This window comes from Homo sapiens, chromosome 10 (genome assembly GCF_000001405.40).
Source record: "Homo sapiens chromosome 10, GRCh38.p14 Primary Assembly".
Taxonomy (NCBI): domain Eukaryota; kingdom Metazoa; phylum Chordata; class Mammalia; order Primates; family Hominidae; genus Homo; species Homo sapiens.
This window is the reverse complement of record NC_000010.11, coordinates 18380984-18404916: the sequence shown is the minus strand read 5'-3', so window position 1 is coordinate 18404916 and position 23933 is coordinate 18380984. Positions and strand designations below refer to the sequence as shown.

Sequence of the window (23933 nt, the reverse complement as noted above, 5' to 3'; positions counted from 1 at the left end):
CTCAAAATTAACATCTAATCTGTTCACTGCAGTTTAGTGGTTAAGAAAAGCCTTAACAAAGTGGTAGTGGAGAGTAATAGGTTTATTGACAGCACAGAGTACTTCGTTATATAACCTTTTGTAGGTCACTTAAATTTTAAAAGACAGTATCTCTAGTCTCACTTCTTGCTAATCACGTTATTTCACAGAGGTATTATTAGGCAATTAGTGGATAATGTGTTTGTATTTATACAGGACCAGGATCTGAAAGCACTGCTAACGTCATCTGCACAGACTTATTTATTACATGTGATCTGTAAGGTGAGTAAAAGCACTGACTTGTAGAGTCTTTCTGTTTGAGAGATGCTTCGATGGTTACGAAGTAAATGTAGAAAATGTCTGATTCTTCCAAAATGGCTGTGCAAAGTGTTTTTAACTATTTAAAGTTAAATAGCATGAATTGTTATGTTTTTAAACTTTAAGCCTTCATTTTGAAGTAGGTTTCATTAAGGCAAGATGAAATTCTGGCAAAGAATGAGGTTATTTTTATAGATAACAATAAAAATTTATAGAGGGAACTAGCCTTCTACAATCCCTATTTTGCATTATTTCTTCAAGGATATTGGGATTAATAAACCAGACTTACCAAACCATGATTTTAATATAAAGGAAAATTCAATGCTCATCTTTGTATCTTCTTTTGAGACATATTTAAATTCTCACTTACCCTAGTGTGTCTCATTTGAATACATCAAAGGTTTAAAATATTGACCTAATTTTAAAGAAAAAATATAAATAAACTATTTTTTAAAAAATTTTATGGGTACATAGATGTGTATATTTATGAGGTACATGGGATGGTTTGATACAGGCATGCAATATGAAATAAGCATACCCTGGAGAATGGGGCATCTATCCCCTCAAGCATTTATCCTGTGAGCTACGAACAGTCCAATTACATTCTTTAAGTTATTTAAAAATATACAATTAAGTTATTATTGACTTTAGTCACCCTATTGTGCTATCAAATAGGTTTTATTCATTCTTTCTATTTTTTTTTTTTTTGGGTACCCATTAACCATTCCCATCTCACCCATTAAATAAACTATCTTGCCTTAAACATAGGAAATAGTTTTTCAATTATTTTGCCTTTGTTTTAAAGTCTCTTCATTTTCTTTTATCCTCTACATCATTTCTAACTATCATCTTTTTAGGCTGTAGGACAAGTAACACGACCCTGGTTTGATTTAGGAGCAACATTTCGATCCATGCTTGGTTAAAAGATACTTTAAAAGTTCTTTGCAGCAATGTCATCTAACTCATGACACAGCCACAGAGTCATGAACAAAAATGCCCCAATTACATAACAATTGAAAACCAAACCTACAGTCTATTGGGCTGTATCATGATGGCATATAAGCCCGAGAAACTGTTCAATTTTGGTATGTGAAACTTACATGAATAAATTAGCCGCAAATAGAACAATCTTATTTTCGGAATACAAACTGTAGTTTTTTTGTACTCTTCTTTACACACAATGCAAAATATAGAATATAGAATTCAGACTCTCAGCTGCAACCTATATTAACTACAATGCAGACTGTCATACATTATTTAATGTTCTTCATTATTTAATTTCAACTTCACAATGTTCTACGTGGCTAACATTGGTAGAGCAGATTCATTGATGGCAACTGGGCCACGTCCAGTTTTATCAGTTTCCACCATCACAAAACCCTCCCTGCATCTGCTATTTATGAACTGCCTTTCAGAGAAGACTGTCAGTCCTGGAGAAAATTTCCCTGCCAGGCGAGGTAAGAACATCATTCTGATATACAAAAGTACTGCTTTTTAGAAGTCAAGGTCTCCTGGCAGTTCCTCAGTAGACTATGATGGCAGCCGCACTAGAGGTCATGAATAATGTATTACATAAGGGCTGTCCATGCATTCAAACCAGAATCTCCTAACCACAATTCCCATAGCAACACACATAGATTTTACTCATCTCAGAGATGAGGCAGGCAGTAGAAATGCTATCCTGGTATTTCTAGCATGATCAACAAGGCACTTAGCCTTTTTCAAAACAAGTTTTTCAAAGGAAAATCAACAACCATGTTAAAATAGGTTCATTGAGAAGTGACTGAGTATCCCACAAACCAAGCCACCTTCAACTCGAACAATCTATGCTTTAGAAATAGCCACTATTCCAAGGACAGCATGGGAGAAAGAATTCAAATCACTGCAATGACTGAAATGAGACATGGCCTGAGATGAATCCTGTAACTATCTATTTCATAGCTGCTTTGCAGTCTCCCCTCCATATATACACACTTTATTAAGATGGAATGGAGAAGAACATGTTCTAAGAGAAGAAACTTTTAAAAATCAATAAAATCCTCTGTTGCTTTTGGAAAAGCATAATGTAATCCATTTTGAAAATACAGGATACTAACATAAAACACCTATGAAGTAAAATTCAGGGGAAAAACTGTTCAAGTCTAAGAAAATAAACAATAGCTTGAAGTCAGTCTGTTTTTTTTTTTTTTCTTAACAGAGATATAGTTTACTGTGGAAATGAAGTAAAACATGTTGATATTAGGTGCAGTTTTTCCTCTTGGCAAATTCAAGGATCCTTTTGTATGTGTCCAAATAAGCCATCCACCCACAGAAAAGAGTTGCTTGGATTATAAAACAACATAGAAGACCAGTCTTACATACCACACTTCCTTTTTCTACCAAGGGAAGAAACTAGGCTCCATTTTTTGTACCTTTCTAAAACCAGACAATGAAATTCTCTAATAGATCAAACAACCTTTAGGGGAAACTCCCACAGGTGGTCTATCAGGGGCACAGCACAACTTGCAAAGATCTTGGCAGGGAGGAAACGATTTTACCTTTGCTTTTTCCAACTGTGCCTGGGCCTGCCGCTCCGCTTCTCTGCGCACTGCCTCCCGGTCCTCCTCCAGAGATACATCGGAATCGGATGGACGGCTAGTGTAGGAGTCTGCCGAACCCTGGAGAGGAAAATGTACATTTTAAAGTAGATTCAGTCTATGATGTTTGCATTGGAAAAGTCTCATCGACACAGCAGTTAGCTTCCCGGATTGTTCTATACTTTCCTGAAAAGAGGAGAAAATAATTCATTTTGCAGCAACCTATCTAGAAAACCATGCTCTGGTTTGCAGACATTCAATAGAATAGTTGTGTCTACTGAGTTGCCATTCCTTCCCAAGCTTTATATTCCAAAAAACTATCCTTCCTGGAAGCCAGAACAAGTTGGTTTTATAATTAAACAGCTTGATGGTGCAGTGCAGAACTGAAGGACAACGATGGGTTTCAAGGATAGCTTCAAGAACAATCTACATGCTAAAGCAGGTATTTGAAACTAGGAGGACATTAAGCTTAACAAAAACATGAAAGAAAGTCTGAGTTATAAACTTGAACTCTCCAAAATGTCACTACCATGACATGATTCCCACTTTAATCTGAAAAAGCCTTGTTTACCTTTTTATACACCTGCTATTTTCTCTGATAAAACTGTAAGACACTAGCAGCTAACTTCACTCCATCTTCCAGCAACACATTTTAAAATACCTTTACCTAGATTTAATAAAAAGCCGTCTACAGAAAACACCTGCCTGGGATAGCTCATCTGGCAATTAATCACAACCTAGGAAAAGGAGCTCAAAAAATGAGAGGAATCTCCCTAGCTTCCCTCTCCTGCAATCATGATCCGATTAACCAAATCAAACCACCCTCTCTACCTGCACTCACTGCAACAACAGAAAAGCAGAGACAAAATAACCTCTCCCCACAAACGAAAGCCCTTGCGCTTACACAGATATCAGAATTCTTCAGCCTTCCTCCCTTGGCTCTTTTCAGAAGCCTGATCCAGGTGGCCTTCATGAGCCAGACAGCGCCTTTATCGTCCGCAGCTGCAGCCCCGGGCACAGGTTCTCAGTGCGCGCTGAGCCCCGGAGAACCCCAGCTCCTTTCCTATCCATGCTCTGGGCAAGCCCCTGTTCTCCGTCCCTTTCTGCCTCCGGGGCTTTCACTCCCTGCCCCAGAGGACTCCCATCCAGGGAGATTCTTATTTTCCCATTCCAGGAGGGGCTGAAAACACACACTCGAGTGCTTTATATTGCTTTAAAAATAAAGAAGACAAGTGCATTCAAAAGCCGAGCATCAACTCGTTCTAAACTTAATGCATCTCATAACCCTAAACATTCTCTTCCCTGCGCTCAAATTGTTAAAAGAAATTAGTTGTAAAAGAATCGCAGAAAAAAAAAAAAAAAAACTAGTGCAAAAACGTATGCAGTGACATTTGCAAGTGCAAAGTTCAAGCCTTATCTTTGGAGATCTCGAGGGGGAGGGGGGAGGCGGAGGGAGGAGGACGCACTCCCACACTGGGCATGCTCCATATGTCGCCTTTTTACGCAGATGCTCACATCACACTGTTAGTCTATGTCAAATTGCCATTTTACATCCGAAGTGTAAACAGCTGGAAAGGTCTCTTCGGTTCTATAGTAATCGGGCTCGTGGTATGTGTGTCTGTTTCTGTTTCAGATGAAACCTTCTCTCAAAAACAAAGCATGAGATCGTTTCCTTTAATAATCCCTTTCCATTACCTGCTCCACTAAGTGTGTCCTATACCACAAGGAGGTTCACAGGTAGTAAATATCATATGCAATATTGCATAGCAAAAATCAAATAATGCTCATCAGTCATAATATAGCACAGTTCTTTATTGCTTGTGACTTTCCAAACAAGATGCAAGAGAGTGACGTGGCCATTTAATTAGGACACGAAAGTAATCACCGCTTTATAAAGCGTTGAGTTTAAAGGAGCTCAAAATGACTTCGAACTGCTTCTCCAACTGAGAAACTACCATTTGAAATAAAGCCACTGGCATAAACAGCAGTGTGAATTGTTATAACCATACTTACAAGGAAATTTCAAAGCTTGGTTAATTTATTAGTTGGAGTTAAAATTCACAGAATAATTGAGTCCCAACTCTGCTTGTAGATGAGGTGAGTGAGGCTGAAGAAGGAAAGACACTAAAGTTATTAATTTCCTGTACTAATGAAATTACATTTTAAAAGTTTACTTATTAAGAAATATACACTTTGTTTTCTTGACATAAACAAAATGCTCTCATTGTAGTCTAAACTGCATTTGTTTGAGTGTGGTGGGAGAATATTTTGTACAAATAAAAATGAAAAAAAAAAGTGTTCTTAAGAATACTTAAGAACCACAGCTGGCTGCAGTGGCTCACGACCGTAACCCTAGGACTCTGGGAGGCCAAAGTGGGAGGATTGCTTGAGCCCATGAGTTCGAGACCAGCCTGGGCAACATAGTGAGACCCTATCTCAAAAAGTCTTCCTCCCTCCTCCTCCCTTCTACCCTTCCTCCCTCCCCACCTGGCACTCTGCACTAATATAATCTTCAAGACCCAAATACTAGAAAATACGTAGAATAGGGGTTTCAGAATGAAAGTTAGTGATCAGTTGTACCTCAATTGTGGTATCTTGACGTAAATTAATAGATCACCTATTGTTATGATGTGACTGTAAAATGCATGGGGGATAAAAATGCACTGCAAACTCTTCGTTCAAGCAAATTTACAAGGGAGAAATGAGTGTGTCAACACATACACACCTGGTAGGGGATTCCTGATCTTCCTAGAGGGCTTCTTATAGTAGTAGCAGCACAGTAGAAAATTACCAGGAAGCATAATTATACCCCATAAGGGGCCCCTGTCCCCACTGTCACCAGTCTTGCCATGTTAGACCCAATCACCCCGCTACAGGTTCAAGTCACACCTCAATGAAAAGACAAAGCTTCTATCAGTAAGAACCCAGCAATGACAGGAAGTACATAAAGAGAGGGCCGCATAACACCCACACATAATTTTGTGCGGTCTCATTCCCGCGGTCGCATTCCCGGTCTCATTCATTATTTTAAAATAAGATATAAAAAGTCCTTTGCTAATATTCAGATGGAGCTTTTACATTGCATAGTCACTTTGAGACCTGTTTCCAGGTTTAAATAGCAGTTAAAAACAAAAATCTCTTCAATGACTTTTGGCAATGGCTTGACTATTTTATAATACAGGATGTGACTACCAATTGATCTTTAGAGTAGTTCATAGAAGCATAGAAAGAGCTGGATTACCTTCATTCCTTGTATCTCTGATAGTATATACTTTCACACAAAAACAATTGTGTGTGTGTGTGTGTGTGTGTATGTGTGTGTGTGTGTGTGTGTGTGACAGTCTCACTGTCACCCAGGCTTGATAGACTGCAGTGATGCAATCATGGCTTACTGCAGCCTTGACCTCCTGGGCGAAAGTGATCCTCCGGCTTCAGCCTCCCAAGCAGCTGGGAATACAAGCATGTGCTCCCATTCCTAGCTAATTTTTAAATTATTTTTTGTAGAGATGGGTCTCACTATGTTGCCCAGGCTGGCTGGTCTCAAACTCCTGGGCTCAAGCAATCCTCCTGCCTCAGCCTCCCAAAGTGTTGGGTTTACAGGTGTGAGCCACCTCACCCAGCCTCAAAATATTTTTCGTTATAGAAGTTATATGCACCCAGCATTGAAAGACACACAAATAACGATCCCCTGAAAGTCTCCCATCCAAAGACAGCCACAGTTAAATAGTAGCATGTTTCAGTATCTGAAGCTGTTGCATGTTTGAAAGTCACCCTCCTGACATATGCCTTACAGTTAATCTCCTTTCTTGTGGGAGTGTGGATTTATTCAGTTAGAAGTGATATATCTAATTAAGCTTTTATCTTTGGAAACATATGGACTTTCTGGGTCATCGTGCCTCAAGTAGTCTTCAGTCAGGAACAGCTGGCGGTCGTTTCCATAACTCCGGAATAGGTTCATTACAAAATGTACCCTTGATCTCTAGGGCTCTTACAACGTGATTAGCTGGTCTTTTGCAGTATTTGTCCTTGTCAGTGCATCACATTTCAGCTACCCAGATTTCCTTTTCTACATCTTAATACCTGCATTTCTATTTGGACATTTCTGAAAATGTAACTTGTACTACTGTGTACTAATAGTTCCTCCCAGGATCATCACCTTTTATCCTTAGAGCTCTCACTTTGTGGGTTCATTGCTCATAGGAAAATTGCATATCACTGGATTAATTTATGCTTTTATCTACTCTTCAATTTCTTTTTCCACTTTTTTTTTTTTTTTTTTTTTTTGAGACGGAGTCTCGCTTTTGCTCTGCTGCCCAGGCTGGAGTGCAATGGCATGATCTCAGCTCACTGCAACCTCCATCTCCTGGCTCCAAGCAATTCTCCTGCCTCAGCCTCCTGAGTAGCTGGGATTACAGATGTGCACCACCACACTCGGCTAATTTTTGTATTTTTAGTAGAGACGGGGTTTCATTGTTTTTCCACTTTTATGTCTAACGTTCACACAAGAAAGCGTCACCCTTTCTTTTTTCTTTTTTCTTTTTTGAGATAGTCTCACTCTGTTGCCCAGGCTAGAGTGCAGTGGCTCAATCTTGCCTCACTGTAACCTCTGTCTCCTAGGTTCACGTGATTCTCCTGCCTCAGCCTCCAGAGTAGCTGAAATTACAGGCATGCGCCACCAGGCCCGGCTAATTTTTGTATTTTCAGTAGAGACGGTTTTGCCATGTTGACCGGTCTGGTCTTGAACTCCTGACCTCAGGTGATCTGCCCACCTCGGCCTCCCAAAGTGCTGGGATTACTGGCTTGAGCCACTACACCTGGCCACCCTTTTTCTTTAATGCTTTAAAAAATTTATATACTTTGCTGTTTTGATGCTGTACTCTGCTGTTTCACAGTCATCTATATTTTCAGCATCAGTATTTTGGAGCATTCTTGTATTTTTCTCTTTTAAAGCCCAAAAGATAAGAGTTGTAAGCCTATTTCATAGCGGCATCTTGGATCCCAAATTGTGTTCTTCTCTTTCTGTAGGAAATCTTTATATGAAGTCTTAAAGCCATGTTCTTGAGCAAAATCAACTTTTTATGAATCCAAAGGCCAGTCTGATTCTAGACAAAGCTATAACTCATCAAAATCCTCAAGATTTTAGACCACCTCCTCATGCATAGGACGATGCTGACCCAATGGCAAACTCATTGCTTGCTGGTCAGGCCCACATATTTTAAAATAAAGCAAAATGGGGCCAGGCACAATAGCTCACAACTGTAATCCCAGCACTTTGGGAAGCCGAGGTGGGTGGATCACCTGTGGTCAGGAGTTCGAGACCAGCCTGACCAACATGGTGAAACCCTGTCTCTACTAAAAATACAAAAATTAGCCAGGTGTGGTGGCACATGCATATAATCCCAGCTACTCGGGAGGCTGAGGCAGGAGAATCGCTTGAACCCTGGAGGTGGAGGTTGCAGTGAGCTGAGACTGTGCCACTGCACTCCAGCCTGGCAACAGAGCGAGACTCCGTCTCAATCAATCATCAATCAAAATGGGATAGACTTCAGCGGGCCAGGACCAAGGGGAAAGGGTTCTATCTTGTATTGTCTGTGGGGGAAGGGAGATAATTCTTTCATTTTTCATGGTGTTGTCATCTCTTTTCACAGTTTAGAATTACCTTCTGTTCTCTGGTGCAATGTAGATGCAAGAAATCTGAATTGCTATTCTCTGCTTTACTGGTTTCTTCATAAATAAAATCATAAACTATGGGCTGCATGCTGGCTCATGCCTGTAATCCCAGCACTTTGGGAGGCAGAGGCAGGCAGATCACTTGAGGCCAGGAGTTCAAGACCAGCCGGGGCAACATGGTGAAACCCCATCTCTACTAAAAATACAAAAATTAGCCAGGCGTGGTGGCAGGTGCCTGTGGTCCCAGCTACTCGGGAGGCTGAGGCAGGAGAATCGCTTGAACCTAGGAGGCAGAGGCTGCAGTGAGCAGAGAATACAACACTGTACTCCAGCTTGGGTGACAGAGGGAGACCCTGTCTCAAAATAATAACAATAAAATCATCAACTATGTACTGATGAGAGATCCTGACTCTAAACACTGAAAAATGACATAGCGTGCCAAGATGCGGGACAGTTGCATAAACATTGTATACCTTAGTTTGCAAACTGTCGTGTAATTATTATTCAAATTCATACGATGATGAAAATCTCAAATGTGATTGACCTATCATTTAGCTGAGTGTCAAAATAGTAACAGAGGTGATAGCAATACATCGCTGCAGGGTCATCCCTGTGTGATACTTTTATGATCCTGTAAAAGCCAAAATGTCAGTTTCAATTTTCTCAAGACAATATGAAAATTTATAAACATATAGCTATAGGATGTACTAATGAAGAGATTAAATTTTATTTAACAACTCCCCAAACTACATGCAATTATTGAGTACTTATTACTTTGAAACTCTGTGCTGTAACTGTGAGCTAAATACTGAAAACAGGGCTGTAAAAAAGATTAAAGCTTTCTGTCATGAAACTTAATATCTCAGTGAAGGAAACTGATTTTTTTTTAAAAGGCACCAGAAAAATAACGGCTATGAGAGACAAGAAAAAAAGCTGAGATAATAAAATGATGGTGGGAGGGATGGTATTTTAGTTAGAGTAATGAGATGACAGTCTGCAATGACACTAAGCTGAAATCTAAACGATGAAAGAAAAAACTCAGCCCTGCAACGCATTGAGAAGAGGGATGTCTGGGCAGAAAGAACATCATATGCAAAGGCCTTGTGTACAAGAAATGCTTGCATGTCTGAGGAATTGAAAAGAGGTCAGTGTATCTAACATGCTAACATTAATTTTTAGTAAGATTTATTTAAACTTGTTCAGTCTCTCTCTCTCTCTCCCTTCTCTTTTTCTCTCACTCTGCATGTGATATATACTCAGGCACTCCTGGAATACACATGTGAGACTCCATCAACATGGGATTACCTCCCAGAAAAACTCCTTCAGCCTGTGTGAGTTCCTTAATTCGGAGTTACATTTAAGTTGTTGTTAGTGAACTCCACGTTACTGGAAACATGATGTCTCCGGAGAATATAAACAGAGTTCTTGTATTTTCTTCCTTCTCAGTCCAGCACAATTACTTAGAGGCTAAAAGAGTGCGTTTTGAAGATTGTTTTATATTATACTCATAATGAGGATAATCAATTAAGATCAGGCTATGCACATAATAATACATCTTATTAATGATAATAATTGCAAATATTTCATAAATGCTTACACTGTGTCAGGTACTGTGCTGATTCACAAGTATTACCTAATGTAATTTCGATTATCTTCATTTTTACTGATGAGAAAACTGAGACATAGAGAAGCTACCTGAGCAAGGCCACGAAGCAGGGGACTCATTGCATAGCCAAATGCAAGTCATATAAATAACTCCCTGGCTAATTCCTCCCTTTGTAAAATGAGTATATAACAAATTGGATCCACAGAGTTAGGAGTAAACCTTTAGCAGTCAAATTTCAAGTGCCATGCATGTGTCTGCTCATAAAAAGAAAAGCTAGGACAAATTCCTACATGCATCTGATGTTTTTGTTAATCAAAAGCATATGTTTTTTCTGTTTGTTGGTCATAGGTATAGCCATTTCTAACGATCATAAAGGCATCGTGATAGTTTTGTAATGCTTAGCTATGTCTTTGCTAAGCTTTAGGCACGCTCGCTTGCTCTCTCTCACACACATCTATAAATTTTCGAATTTGGGCCAGGCGCAGTGGCTCACGGTGAAATCCCAGCACTTTGGGAGGCCGAGGCAGGCAGATCACCAGGTCAGGAATTCGAGACCAGCCTGGCCAAGAGACCAGCCTGGCCAATATGGTGAAACCCTGTCTGTACTAAAAATACAAAAATTAGCCAGGCATGGTGGTGGGCGCTTGTAATCTCAGCTACTCGGGAGGCTGAGGCAGAAGAATTGCCTGAACCTGGGAGGCAGAGGTTGCAGTAAGCCAAAGATTGTGCCACTGAACTTCAGCCTGGCAACAGAGTGAGACTCCTACTTGGAAAAACAAAAATTTCAAATTTTATCTTTCCAAAAAGGCACAACGAAAGTACACCGAGGGCTCATTTTACATTCATTAATAGAATGCTGTTTTGTGGAAAGACTTGGCTGCTCCTCTGAAATTTTCCTCACTTCAGAGTATCTCAGCATCACCAAGCATTCTTTTCATTACTTATCTACAAGGGAAAGTAGATTAGAATCGGAAAACAATAGAAGCCAAGACACCGGCTATTTAAGTTTTTCTCTCTTTGCTGAAAATGAATAGAACTTTGGCAAGCTGGCCTTCAGTAGACTGGTCGGCAGCTCATCCTGCCTGAAAGTGGCTAGGATTCAAGTGTCTTCTTTCAGTGCAAAAGGAACAGTTGCTGGTTTTCAGTACTGAAGCTGAAGTTATTATAAAGTACAAATAGTAGGCAAGAAGTTCAGACATGTGACTTTCATTTTTTTAAAAAACGAACATATCAAAATGCTGTTACCACCAAATTATTCCTTAACATGAGGGTATGATGGCTATTTACAGTTTATAGAAGAGCCTCTGCTCAATATTTGCAAAATTTGACATTGTCCAAAGGAACCATTTTGAAAAAGTTAAAATTAGAGGGGCAATTTTGATATTATTTTGAGTTTTGGATTTCAGTCATAGGCTAAGTAATTTAAAAAAATTAGAACATTATGTATGTGTATGTGTGTTTTGGGAAAATTTTCTAGGCCTTTAATATATATCTACTGATGATGACAGATGACATGATTTTTTTTTTTTTGACATGGAGTCATCCAGGCTGGAGTACAATGGGGCGATCCCGGCTCACTGCAATCTCCGCTTCCCGGGTTCAAGCGATTCTCCTGCCTCAGCTTCCTGAGTAGTTGGGATTACAGGTGCCCACCACCATGCCCAGCTAATTTTTGTATTTTTAGTAGAGATGGGGTTTCATCATGTTGGTCAGGCTGGTCTTGAACTCCTGAACCCAGAGGATCTACCTGCCTCGGCCTCCCAAAGTGCTGGGATTACAGGTGTGAGCCACCGCATCCAGCCAATGACAAGAATTTTTTCATGCTAATATAATTTTTTATATACAAACTATCTTATCAGTTATGAAATTGAAAACAAGTAGGCAGGGAGCAGAAAAATAGTGGCTTGGGAGAGTTGAACTGTCTCAATACATAGCTGCAGAAAATTCAATGAAATGGGAGAAAAGGAGTGAATAAATTGTATGTAGGGAATTTTTGGTCTAGAAATTCATGCTGGTTACAGGTACTCCAGAAACTGCATGGATGTCACTACACTTAGGGTTTTTCTATTGAATCATTTGAATCAGCAAACTCACGTGATTATTTCTCTCTTCCTAAGAAAACCTTTCCTTGACTCCATTTTCTCTGCCAGCTCTTGTCCAGTTTTCCCCTCTCCTTTGCAGAAAAAATAATGCATAGAAAAAGTTGGCTCTGCTCCCTCTAACTCTTCTCTTCCTGTTCTCTCTTAAATATACTTCCTCCTATTCCTCCTACCACTCCACTAAAACTGTTCATCAAGGTCATCAATGATGTCTCTAAGGCTACATCGATGGCTGATTCTCAGTGCTCATCTTACTCCAGCAATCAGCAGCCTTTAACATCACTGATCATCCCCTGTCCTCTCTTCATTTTCTCAACTTGACTTCCAAGAAACCACTCCCTCTTGGTCTTTCTCTTTTCCCATTGGCTGTTCCTTCTAAGTCTCCTTTGTTAGTAACGTCCTCTTCCGCTGATCTCTACACCCTCTCCCTGCCACCTCGCTCTCCCTTCTTTCGGCTCTAACCTTGTTGGGCCCCTTGATATTCCTCAGAGGTACCAGACACTCTCCTCCCCTAGATTTCTACCCTTCTAACTCTATCACCTCCTCTAAGTCTTTGCTCAAAATCTTTCTCAATGAGGTCTTCTGCAACCATCCTATTTCAAATTGTAACCCCCATTGATTGCAGCGGTATTTCCAATCTCACTTACCCTGTTCTACTTTTTTAAAAATAGTGCTTTTACCTTCTTTTTTTTTTTTTTTTTTTTGACAGGGTCTTACTCTGTCACTCAGGCTGGAGTGCAGTGGCACAATCTTGGCTCACTGCAACCTCTGTCTCCTGAGCTCAAGGGATCCACCCACTTCAGCCTCCTGAGTAGCTGGGACTATAGGTGCGCACCACCATGCCCAACTAATTTTTCGTATTTTCTGTAGAGATGGAGTTTCACCATGCTGCCCAGGCTGGTCTCGAACTCCTGGATTCAAGAGATCCATGTGCCTCGGCCTCCCAAAGTGCTGGGATTACAGGTGTGAGCCACCACGCCCAGCCTATTAGTGTTTTTACCTTCTAACATATAATTTACTTACGATATTGTTTAGTATATGTCTCCCTTGATTAGGATATAACACCCACGAGGATGGATTTTTTTAAATGTTTCACTTACTCCTATATCCCAAGTGCCTGGAATAGTGCCAGGCATGGAATGCATGCTCAACAAACATTTGTGGAATGAATGAATAAGGACTGAAAGAGAGAAAACCTCTTCTCTCTTACATCCTATAGTTTAAAGCTCTCCCAATTTACAAGAAAGCTCTCCCGATCCATTTTCGCATTCCTAAACATTCTTAAACATTCCTAAATGTGCTAGTGTCTCTTTCTTAATTAAAAAACACAAACAGAAATGTGACTTTCCATGATGAACGGATGATAAATATTTATAATGAATAAAGAATAAAACAAAGGCTTCAGCTTGAAGCTATCCCCAGTGTTTTATCACAAACCTCCACAAATGCCAACTTAATTAACTTGGTGCAAATGTCAACTATAGGCCAGTTGATTAAATAACCATGTTTCATAACAAGCAAGCCACTCCAAAAACAGTCATTGTACTTGAAATTTGTTTAGCATCCTTTTTCCAGTGAATCTAAGAGAGACTTTATATTTTGAAAATATGATTACAACTTATTTTTTGTGAAGCTTCTTTTCCCATTAATTCTGCTTCTTCATTCCAGGAACTTAAAGTTCCAATCCTAAAAGTACCAGTGACTCATTGCATAGCCAAAGGCAAGGCATGTAAATAATTCTCTGGCTAATTCTCTCATTTGTAAAATGAGTATACTAAATTGAAGCTACTAGAAAGAATGCACTTGCAAATTTTCTTACAGATGGTTGCGAATATATTGTAAATATAACATATTGTGTGAGTGACTGTTGATTTACTTCTTATGCACTACCCCTGACATTCCTATAGAGATGGAGTTCAAATTTACAGCAGAAAATATGACTATACATATAACTTATAATAATTCAGAATGTTTCAAAAATCAAGCCAATACAGGGAGAAGATATTTCTTCAAGCAATGTTGGGTAATATAAAGGAATGCAACTGAATAACTGGACAAATAAATATAAAACTCTAGAATATCTTAATAGACTCTCTACTACCAAAGAAAGACCATGTTGGCTGGGCCCCGTGGCTCATGCCTGTAATCCCAGCACTTTGGGAGGCCAAGGTGGGCAGATCACAAGGTCAGGTGTTCGAGACCAGCCTGGCCAATATGGTGAAACCCCCATCGCTACTAAAAATACAAAAATTAGCCAGGCATGGTGGCGGGTGCCTGTAGTCCCAGGTACTCGGGAGGCTGAGGCAGAAGAATCACTTGAACTCGGGAGGTGGAGGTTGCAGTGAGCCAAGATCATGCCACTGCACTCCAGCCTGGGCGAAGGAGTGAGACTCCGTCTCAAGAAAAGAAAGGCCATGTCAAAAGATGGTACATCCAAGTGCCAGGCCTTTTCTTGAGCAGCGAAACAATCAAACAAATGAATCTGGGCTCTTTCCTTCCAAGATGAGTTCTCCCGGGTGGCAATGAACAATTAATCTACAGGCATGAATGAACAGCTAACTTCTGTGTTCTCCAGGGAACTACACACTTGTGAAAAGGGATATGGCTTCAGTCCTTAAATATTTTACTGTTTAACATTTTCTTTGCATATATAAAAGGCACACTAATTGATAAGTAAAACAGTAAGAAATGAATTGATATAAATAAAGGATATTAATAGAAAATTCACGAAAAAATCAATTAGCCATAAGCATCTGGAAAAGATGTTCAACCTCATTAAATTAAACACAATACCATTTTCCATCATTAAACCAATGCTCTTTGCAAAGTCCCAATTCACAATGTCAGGGGGACACACTTAAATTGATACTTTCACACCTTGTTGATAGTTTTTGGCTTTCACGCAACCCTTTGGGAAGACAATTTACTTTCTATGTGTAACTAGACATGCATTTAGATGTACCTAGGCTATTAATTTCACTTCTAGGAACTAGTTTAAGAAAATTTTAAAATTATGGTTCACATGCTTAGTAGACTATTAGATAACCTTGAAAATAGTTACAAAGACTAAAGATGATTACAGGCAAATGTTTATGATGACTGTATTTAATAAAACCAGAAAACAACAACAAAAACAAAACTGAATCATTTCTATATATACATACATTCACGTATGTAAAACAAATAACAGAGGCAAGGCACAGTGACTCATGCCTGTAATCCCAGCACTTTGGGAGGCCCAGGTGGGAGGACTGCATGAGCCCAGGAGTTCAAGACCTGCCTTTGCAACATAGGGAGACCCTGTCTCTACAAAAACATTTTAAAAATGAGCCAGGCATGGTGGCACACACCTGCAGTCCTAGCTACTTGGGAAGCTGAGGCAGGAGGACTGCCTGAGCTCAGGAGTTCAAGGCTACAGTGAACTGATCATGCCACTGCAATCCAGCCTGGGTGACAGAGTGAGACTCCCATCTCAAAAAAACAAAAACAGTAACAGAAGAGATAAGGTTGGATTCCATTTTCTCAAAAAATGTTGGGAGTTCAGTTAAATTCTTTTCCTGTAATGTTCCTATGTTTGTGAATAAAAGGCCCTTCCTATTGCAATTGAAATTTCTCACAAAGTACCCTGAAAATATTTTTGATGTTGTAAAAGAGATGATTTATACATATTTTCTGTAATTGATTCACCTTCGTAGTTGTTTGCATATGGGGAAGGGAGGCAAGGACCAGGTCTCCTGAAAGCCTCTTTATGCACATGAAAAACAGAGAACAAAGTAAAGGTTGCTATGGGAATTATGACAGGCAAGAAAATAATTAAAAGAAAAGTACTTAGACATAAAATTTTATGATTATGAAGTAAATTTCTCTGTGTATAATGTATAGAAATGATTATTTAAGTGTCTACCTGAAATACTGGATTTTTCTCCTATGATTGCTTAAATAATTTGTTGGTACTAGGTTAGGTACTTAAGCAGGCCAAAATGACCCAGTAATTTGGTAGTAAAATATTAATATACTGTTCTAAAAGTCTAACCTTCTGGAAAGATATGACTTTGGTTCAGAGAGACTTAATATTAAAAAAACAGGCTACACCATCAGGGATTTGTCTGGAAAAATGCCAGTGGTGTGGAGTACTCAGAAATAAAGCACTGGAAAGTACCCTAGGGACCTAATATAGTTAATGTATCCCTTAAGCAGCAAACCCACCTTCAGGAGGTGATTTCAGAACTAGAGACAATCTGGTTCATTCACCTCTGTGTTTTAAAAAGGCTGTAAATTTTAGATTATTTAGCTGGAAATGTGCCACAGATATATAATATTAATATTAGAAAATCTAGACTATATTCAGAACGTTTAATAAAATACTGGACATATACCATTGGTCAAAAGTAGTTTATATCCTATTTCTTGTCTTGCAAATGAAAAAGCATCTTTTGTTGCATGAAAATATCTGCTCTATTTTGCATTTGAAGGTGTAATGGACTTTAATGATAGCAAAACTTCCATCAAGCAGGGCAAAAATGGCCTGACAGTTTGGTAAGAATACATTTTGGTAAGGATGAGAAATGGCTTGGGCCAGGTGCAGTGGCTCACTCCTATAATCCCAGCATATTGGGAGGCCGAGGCAGGAGGATTGCTTGAGCTCGGCAGTTTGAGACCAATGTGGACAACATAACGAGACCCCATCTGTACAAAAAATTTTAAAACGAGCTGGGCATGGTAGCACACACCTGTAGTCCCAGCTACTTGGGAGGCTGAGGTGGGAGGATCACTTGAGTCTGGGAGGTGAAGGCTGCAGTAAGCCTTGATTGTACCACTGCACCCCAGCCTGAGTGACAGAATGAGAGCCTGTCGCTAAAAAAAAAAAAAGAGAGAAAGAAATGGCTCGGTGACTATGCTGACAGCTGTCTGTTGACTTGCACGAGGGTGACCACAGTCTCACAGCCTGGTAGTGTATGCATATGTTATGTGCTAGATCCTTCTACTATTAAGACACAAACCAGACTCAGATACTCCAAGCCAAAAATGCACCTACTGGCTTTTCTGCTTCATTTAAATGACAATCATTGGAAATGATGCACAACTCAGTATTATTATTATCTCCTTTTCCCAACACATATATACAGTAGAATGTAATACTCAAAGGAGGGCAGGGAGCTTTTTTTGTTTACCTCTGTTCCCCAATCCCAGAGCACTCCCAGTGGACATGAGGGAAGAAGAAGTGATTGGGGTTCCCAGTCGAGTGAGGGAGACACATCACAGAGGCTGTAACACAAAACATTATTTTATGACAGTTCTGATAACTACTATAAAGGAAAGCCATGGGACACTATGAGGGAAGATGGCAGGGAGATGAAGATGGGACTCAGAAGAAGCTTCTAAAGGGAAATAGATATTTAGGCTGTGTTTTGCAGCTGGCAGGAAACAGTCATAGATACAGGCAAGGGAACAACATTCCGAGGCAGAAAGACCAATGGGAAGGGGTGGAGGATCTTCGAGTTTCTAAGGAGCAAGAGCTTAGTGACCAAGATGACGGCTCTGAGACGACTCAGCTAGATCTGCCTTCTGAAACTCAGTACTTTCAGTTTATACCAGAAGTATTATACACCGTGATTATACGCTGGAGCGTTTAATTATGAAGGGAATTAAATGATGATAATACTGTTACTGCCTTAATTTCTTCTGGATGAATACCTGGGATCAACTTTCATGATCCTTCATCATCATCATCACATTTACATCCAACTATTCTGTCAACAATTATCTACCATGTGCTGGGCACTGAGGATCTAAGAATATAGATGACATATTCTCTGTTCTCCAATAGCTTCCAGTACCTAGCTCTCTTACCAACTGATACTTGAAACACTCCAAAACATAAAAGCTATACATTTTACTATATCAGATTAAAAATCATAAATAAAGGCAGGGCGCAGTGGCTCACGCCTGTAATCCCAGGACTTTGGGAGGCTGAGATGGGTGGATCACGAGGTCAGGAGATCGAGACCGTCCTGGCTAACACGGTGAAACCCTGTCTCTACTAAAAAAAATGCAAAAAAATTAGCAGGGCATGGTGGCGGGCGCCTGTAGTCCCAGCTACTTGGGAGGCTGAGGCAGGAGAATGGTGCAAACCCAGGAGGCGGAGCTTGCAGTGAGCCGAGATGGCGCCACTGCACTCCAGCCTGGGCGACAGAGTGAGACTCCGTCTCAAAAAAAAAAAAAAAAAAAAATCATAAATAAAAGAGCAACAGTAAAGTTGCTCATATACTGATGATATATACAGAATATGTCATCATATGCTGACAAAAGTTTGATGCCTTCATATATTAATACATCTTATAATCAATAAGAAAAACACCAACAACCCACTAGAAAAATAGGCCAAAAAAGCAGGGGAAGGAGAGACATTCCCAGAAAAAGAAACGGTTTTAAGCTAATGGAAAATGCCTAAGTTTAGTCCTGATGTTAAAACAGGGCAAAATCAAAGACAACACTAGTTTTAATTTTTATTGGCAAAGATTACAAGCAAAGCGAATGCACTGTTAGTGTGGTCCTCTCACACATTGCCCCTTATGGATAAAATTTGGTAGAATTTATCAAAACTGAAAACCTACCTTTGATCCATAATTCTAATTCTGATTCTGGGACTTTTATAGATATATACAAATGTGTACATAAGGATATATATATAAGAATATTTGTTATGGCACTATTTGTGATAACAGATTACTTTGAATAACATAACTATCAGTAGGGCACTGATAAAATTATGTTGCATCCATATGATGGCATATCATTTGGACATATAAAAAAATAAGTTATCTCTAGCGATACATGCTAATGTGAAATAATCTCCAAGATGTATTTTACAGGTTAAAAAGAAAAAAGCATCAGAAAAAGAAAAAACCATCAGAGAGTATTTTTCTATCATTGGTAGAAATACACCGTTTTGCTGTCATTTGAATAAATTTTTTTTTTTTTTTTTTGAGATGGAGTTGCACTCTTGTCACCCAGGCTGGAGTGCAGTGGCACGATCTCGGCTTGGCACGATCTCGGCTCACCACAAGCTCTGCCTCCTGAGTTCAAGCGATTCTCCTGCCTCAGCCTCCCTAGTAGCTGGGATTAGAGGCACACACCACCACGCCCAGCTAATTTTTTGATAAGTGCATTTTAAAGAATGCATACATTTATGAGTATGTAGGCTAGCTCTAGAACATTTAAGTGGCTGCACATTTTTAAAACCTGTGGGGGGCGAGGGGGGGGGGTATTACAAATCTCTATGGCATATTCAAAAGCAATTTAATTAGAGCCTCTGGAGGTGGGATAAGGCAACCGTTTTTTTTTTCCTTCTTAGAGTCTCTCTCTGTTGCTCAGGCTGGAGTGCAGTGGCATAATCTCGGCTCACTGCAACCTCTGCCTCCCGGGTTCAAATGATTCTCCTGCCTCAGCCTCTCGAGTACCTGGGATTACATGTGTCCGTCACCATGCCCAGCTAATTTTTTTTGTATTTTTAGTAGAGATGGGGTTTCACCAGGTTTGCCAGGCTGGTCTCGAACTCCTGACCTCAGATGATCCACCCACCTCGGCCTCCCAAAGTGCTGGGATTACAGGCGTGATCTACCGCACCCAGCCGGCAACTGTTCTTTTCAAAGTTCTGCATGTGATTCTACTGTTCAGCCAAGGTTGAGAACCACAATGCCAGAGTGACACCAAGAACCTGGTCACCGTGGTTGCTTGTGGGGAAGAAAACTGAGGAACCAGCAGCCAGAGATGGGAGGGACTTAACCTGGCACTGGGTAACCTCTTGTAATGCTTGATTTTTTTTTTTTTTACCATGTTCATATTACTTTATTTTTGGTTTTGTGGGTTTTTTTTGTTTTTTGTTTGTTGTTGTTGTTTTGAGACAGGGTCTCACTCTGTCACCCAGGCTGGAGTACAATGGCAATATCTCAGCTCGCTGCAACCTCCACCTTCCAGGCTCAAGTGATCCTCCCACCTCAGCCTCCCAAGTAGCTGGGATTGCAAATGTGCACCATCACGCCCAGCTAATTGTTTTTTTCTTTTTTTGGAGAGACAGGGTTTCACCACGTTGCCCAGGGTAGTCTCGAAGTCCTGAGCTCAAGCGATCTACCCCCATTGGCTTCCCAAACTGCTGCCATTACAGGCATAAACCACTGCGCCTGGCCAACCATATTCATACTACTTTAAAAAGAGACATTTAAAAGGAAAATTTCCAGGTCATTTTCTATGAAAGACTTGGGATACCTTTCTCCACTCTCGATTTCTGTGGTAATTTTTCACGTAATATACACAGCCATTACTTGGAAATTGTTTTTCAATTACAGAAAAAGAGGTACACTATATTTTTATCATGAAAAATATTCAAGTTGCCCTCAAAACATGACCACAGATCGTGATGATATGGCCAAGACACCATATGCTGGTCCTATTGATCTTCGGGAGTCTCAGTACTGACTCTACCAGTGACTACAGGTTCCTTGGGAACACGGTGCCTCTTTGGCCCTGATAACCTTGCTTCTGGATGCACTTTTTACCTTCTCCTAACAATGTGAAAGATCACAGATTTTACATAAATAACTGTGGCATTTTAAACAGCATTCTATGGCTGGGCGTGGTGGCTCATGCCTGTAATCCCAGCACTTTGGGAGGCCGAGGTGGGCAGATCACCTGAAGTCAGGAGTTTGAGACCAGCTTGACCAACATAGTGAAATCCCATCTCTACTAAAAATACAAAAATTAGCCGGGCGTGGTGGTGTGTGCCTGTAATCCTAGCTACTCTGGAGGCTGAGGCGGGAGAATCGCTTGAATCCGGGAAGCGGAGGTTGTACCGAGTCGAGATTGAGCCACTGTGCTCTAGCCTGGGCAACAGAGCAAGATTCCATTTAAAAAAAAACAATGGCACTCTATTCGCTACTCTGTATTCCTCTTCTCTGCTTAATATCTCCCCAACCTTCTGGTGCACCATCTACATACTTATGTATTTATTTATGGTTTACCCCTCGCTGCTAATATGAAAGCTTCATGAAAGTAGGGATTTGTGTTGCCTCTGTCACTGCTGAATCCCCAAGACCTAGCACAGGGCTTGGCACATGAAGACGATATTGCTCTGTTATACACCTCTATGAACATAACAAGCCTCACTCTTCCCACTCCACTACCACAACCCTAGTCAAGTCACTCACCTGTACTGCGTAGACTCTTACGGTGCCTTTGTAATTAGTCTCTCTGCTTATACCCACTTCTGCTAGCCCCTCTATATTCCAGTGGCCAGGTTCATCTTCAGACATACAGCAGATCGTTTCATTCCTCTATCTAGAAGACTTCAATTTCTTTCTATTCCACTTAAAATCCATGCTCCTTACCTGTATAATGTGGCCTTTGCCTATGCCTTTAAACACATCCTGTACCAGAATAAATATTTGTAGCTAACAGAATAAAGTATGTGTCTGTCACATCAAACCTTGGATGACACCGGCTGTTAAGCAGGTAAAAATACAACTTCTGTGGCTTTGGTGAGTGTTCCATGGATTTTGTCACATATAATATAACATGCATATTTCCTACCAGTGGGAAATGCCATCATGAGTGAAACAGCACCCGTGCCATCCTGTGGGCTAGGAAAACACAGAAGAGACACCAAGCTTGTGGCAATTCATTAAAGATCTAGAACCAGAAATGCCATTTAACCCAGCAATCCCATTACTGGGTATATACCCAAAGGAATATAAATCATTCTATTACAAAGACACACACACTCGTATGTACATTGCAGTACTATTCACAATAGGAGAGACATGGAATCAACCCAAATGTCCATCAATGATGGACTGGATAAAGAAAAGGTGGTACATATACATCATGAAATGCTATGCATCCATAAAAAGGAATGAGATCATGTCCTTTGCAGGGACATGGATGGAGCTAGAAGCCATGATCCTCAGCAAACTAACACAGGAACAGAAAACCAAACACTGCATGTTCTCACTTATAATTGGGAGCCGAACAATGAGAACACACGGACACAGGGAGGGGAACAACGCACACTGGGGCCTGTTGGTGGGTGGGGAAGGGAGAAGGAGAGGATTAGGAAAAATGGCTAATGCATGCTGGGCTTCATACCTAGGTGATGGGTTGATAGGTACAGCAAACCACCATGGCACACATTTACCTATATAACAAACCTGCACATCCTGCACATGTACCCAGGAACTTAAAATGAAAATAAAAAATTTTAAAAAAAGAGGCACTGAGCTAACTCACCGAAGAATACTCAATACAAAGAAAGATACAACTGTCTAAGCAGAGAAAAAAGGCAGTTCTGGAGTGATATACATTCACAGAGTTATGAGACGAGACAGCCCTCCTGAAAAATCTGGAAAATTCTAGACAATGCTGGAGGACACAAGATCCATTCTGAGCAAGTATATTTTATTATTATTGTTGCTGTAATTTTGCTATATTTAAGATTAATTTTTAGCATTCTTCGGTGAGGTGAAAAACACACATGAACATCAGAGGTCCACCATATATCATTTATAACACATTTAATTTTGCTTAAGATGACGATATTATAAAAATACATAAAAGTCTCATTCTAATGTAAGTTCAATCCTTCTCAAGTTATGCTTTTGTGCTTGTCATGAAGAACCAAGTAAAAGAACATGTCCATATGATGTCCCAGGCGATGCCGGGGATAAGTGGACCCTACCTGCTATGGCCAGCAGGGTTTTGGTGCTCTGGGTGAGCCACATCATGAATGTGTATTGTTAGAGAATAGCATTTCTTAGGACCTGTTTCTGTGGGTACAGCATGATGTAATATACGAACACAACACTCATTAATACAATCCTATCCCTTCACATTCCAAATTCTACAGTCAACTAAGTTACATTAAAATGAACCTTTTTTTTTTTTTTTTTTGAGACGGAGTCTCACTCATGTTGCCCAGGCTGGAGAGCAGTGGCCTGATCTCGGCTCACTGCAACCTCCACCTCCCAGGTTCAAGCAATTCTCCTGCCTCAGCCACCCCAGTAGCTGGGACTACAGGTGCACGCCATCACGCCCAGCTAATTTTTGTATTTTTAGTAGAGACGGGGTTTCACCATATTGGCCAGGCTGGTCTTGACTCCTGACCTCCGGATCCACCCGCCTCAGCCTCCCAAAGTTTTGGGGTTACAGGCATGAGCCACGGTGCCCTGCTACATTCTTATACATGTCTTTTGACACCTGGATCATAGGGCATACACATGCTTAGCCTTAATAGGTATATTACCAAATGGTTTTACCAATTTATATACCAGTAATGTACGAGAGTTCATACATTTGGGAGGCCTTGGCCTCCCAAAGCACTGGGATTATAGGCGTGAGCCACCGCACCCGGCCAAAATGAACCATCTAGTAGGCAGGAGAGGCGAGGCTTGTGACCTGTGATTACTGACAACAGAACCAAGGAATGGCAGCCAGCAGTAGAATTTCCCCAGCTGGCCCTGTGTCTGGAGACTTGGTCTCTGCAGTTAGTATCCACAGCTCTGTCCATCTCACTACTTTCTCTCAGAACACCTGCTGCTGTCATTCTTCAGAGGGGCTCCTGGTGGTGTTTTCAAAGCAAGGCAGCCCACCACAGAG

General features: G+C 40.4%; 1 protein-coding gene across 14 annotated transcripts in view; it reads right to left on the bottom strand.

Annotated features, from left to right (window-relative positions):
• Positions 1-23933, bottom strand: part of CACNB2 (calcium voltage-gated channel auxiliary subunit beta 2) — a 403134-nt gene that overhangs the window by 138641 nt on the left and 240560 nt on the right. For 12 of the 14 annotated variants that reach the window (NM_201571.4, NM_001167945.2, NM_201572.4 and 9 more), the window contains one exon: positions 2874-2993. In NM_201571.4, coding sequence (NP_963865.2) covers positions 2874-2993 — 120 coding nt within the window. Of the gene's footprint in view, positions 1-2873; positions 2994-3816; positions 4343-23933 lie in introns of those variants that run through there. The other 2 variants (NM_201570.3, NM_001410882.1) reach the window with 1 other exon arrangement.